This window comes from Homo sapiens, chromosome 17, assembly GCF_000001405.40.
Source record: "Homo sapiens chromosome 17, GRCh38.p14 Primary Assembly".
In the NCBI taxonomy this organism is placed as follows: domain Eukaryota; kingdom Metazoa; phylum Chordata; class Mammalia; order Primates; family Hominidae; genus Homo; species Homo sapiens.
Window position 1 is genome coordinate 14,353,064 of NC_000017.11, and position 1,076 is coordinate 14,354,139.

The 1,076-nt window shown below is 49.5% G+C and overlaps 1 annotated feature.

The window, feature by feature from the left end:
• Positions 1–827: an enhancer, noted in NCBI's record as "H3K4me1 hESC enhancer chr17:14256381-14257207 (GRCh37/hg19 assembly coordinates)". NCBI's record gives its function as "activates a minimal SCP1, AML or CMV promoter by ChIP-STARR-seq in primed H9 embryonic stem cells {active_cell/tissue: H9 hESC(primed)}" and the evidence as "EXISTENCE:reporter gene assay evidence [ECO:0000049][PMID:30033119]".

Sequence of the window (1,076 nt, forward strand, 5' to 3'; positions counted from 1 at the left end):
AGCTGCTGAGGAAGGGAGGCATCTTAGGAGAGGGATGTCCAAAGTAGTGTACTTTCGTTATGATATTCTCTGTGAATTGGAACACGAAGAAGCTGAAGTCAGAGGTCAATTCATTCATCCAGCATTATTTACCGAGTGTCTGCTGCTGCTAGGGACACAACCCTAAACAAGAAACACTTCCTGCTTCAAGGAATTTGCATTCCATGGGGAAGTTGAAGGACAAGGGAAGATGCAACCACAATGCAGTGTGACAAGGGCCGTGAAGAGGTGCCGTGGGGTGAGAGGTGGGGGGTGGGGGTGCACAGTAGAGGAAGGGTCAAACCTATAAATCTGGTATGATGTAGCCATGGGATGGGGTGGTAGAGGGACATTATCCCATGCAAAGATCTAGATGTGAGAAAAATACTGCCTGTAGGAAACTGCAGGCCGTTCAGCAGGGAAGCAGCCTGGAGCGGATGGTGGGAGGGGTGGAGGACGGCTCTGGAGGGGATAAACAGAAGATTGTGGCCGGTCGCGCGGTGGCTCTCGCCTGTAATCCCAGCACTTTGGGAGATCGAGGCGGGCGGATCACAAGGTCAGGAGATTGAGACCAGCCTGGCCAACATGGTGAAACCCCGTCTCTACTAAAAATACAAAAATTAGCTGGGCGAGATGGTGTGCGCTTGTAATCCCAGCTACTCGAGAGGGTGAGGCAGGAGAATCCTTTGAACCAGGGAGTTGGAGGTTGCAGTGAGCCGAGACCGCACCACTGCACTCCATCCTGGCGAAAGAGCGAGACTCCGTCTCAAAAAACACACAAACCAATAAACAAAACCCAGAAAATCGTACTGCAGGCAAATTAAGAGCAATCCAGCTGCTTTTGAGCTCCCAACTTCTTTCTCCAGTTGCCCACCTGACATCTCTATTTGGATGTCTCCTTAAGCATCTGAAATATAAACATGCCCTGAACTGAACTCTCAGCTCTCGTCCCTAAATCTCCACTAATCTCTCCTTCTGGGAGTGCTCAAGCTAGAAAACTTGGAGTCATTTTTGACATTTTTTCTCCCACATTCTTTACATCCAATCCATCACTGAGT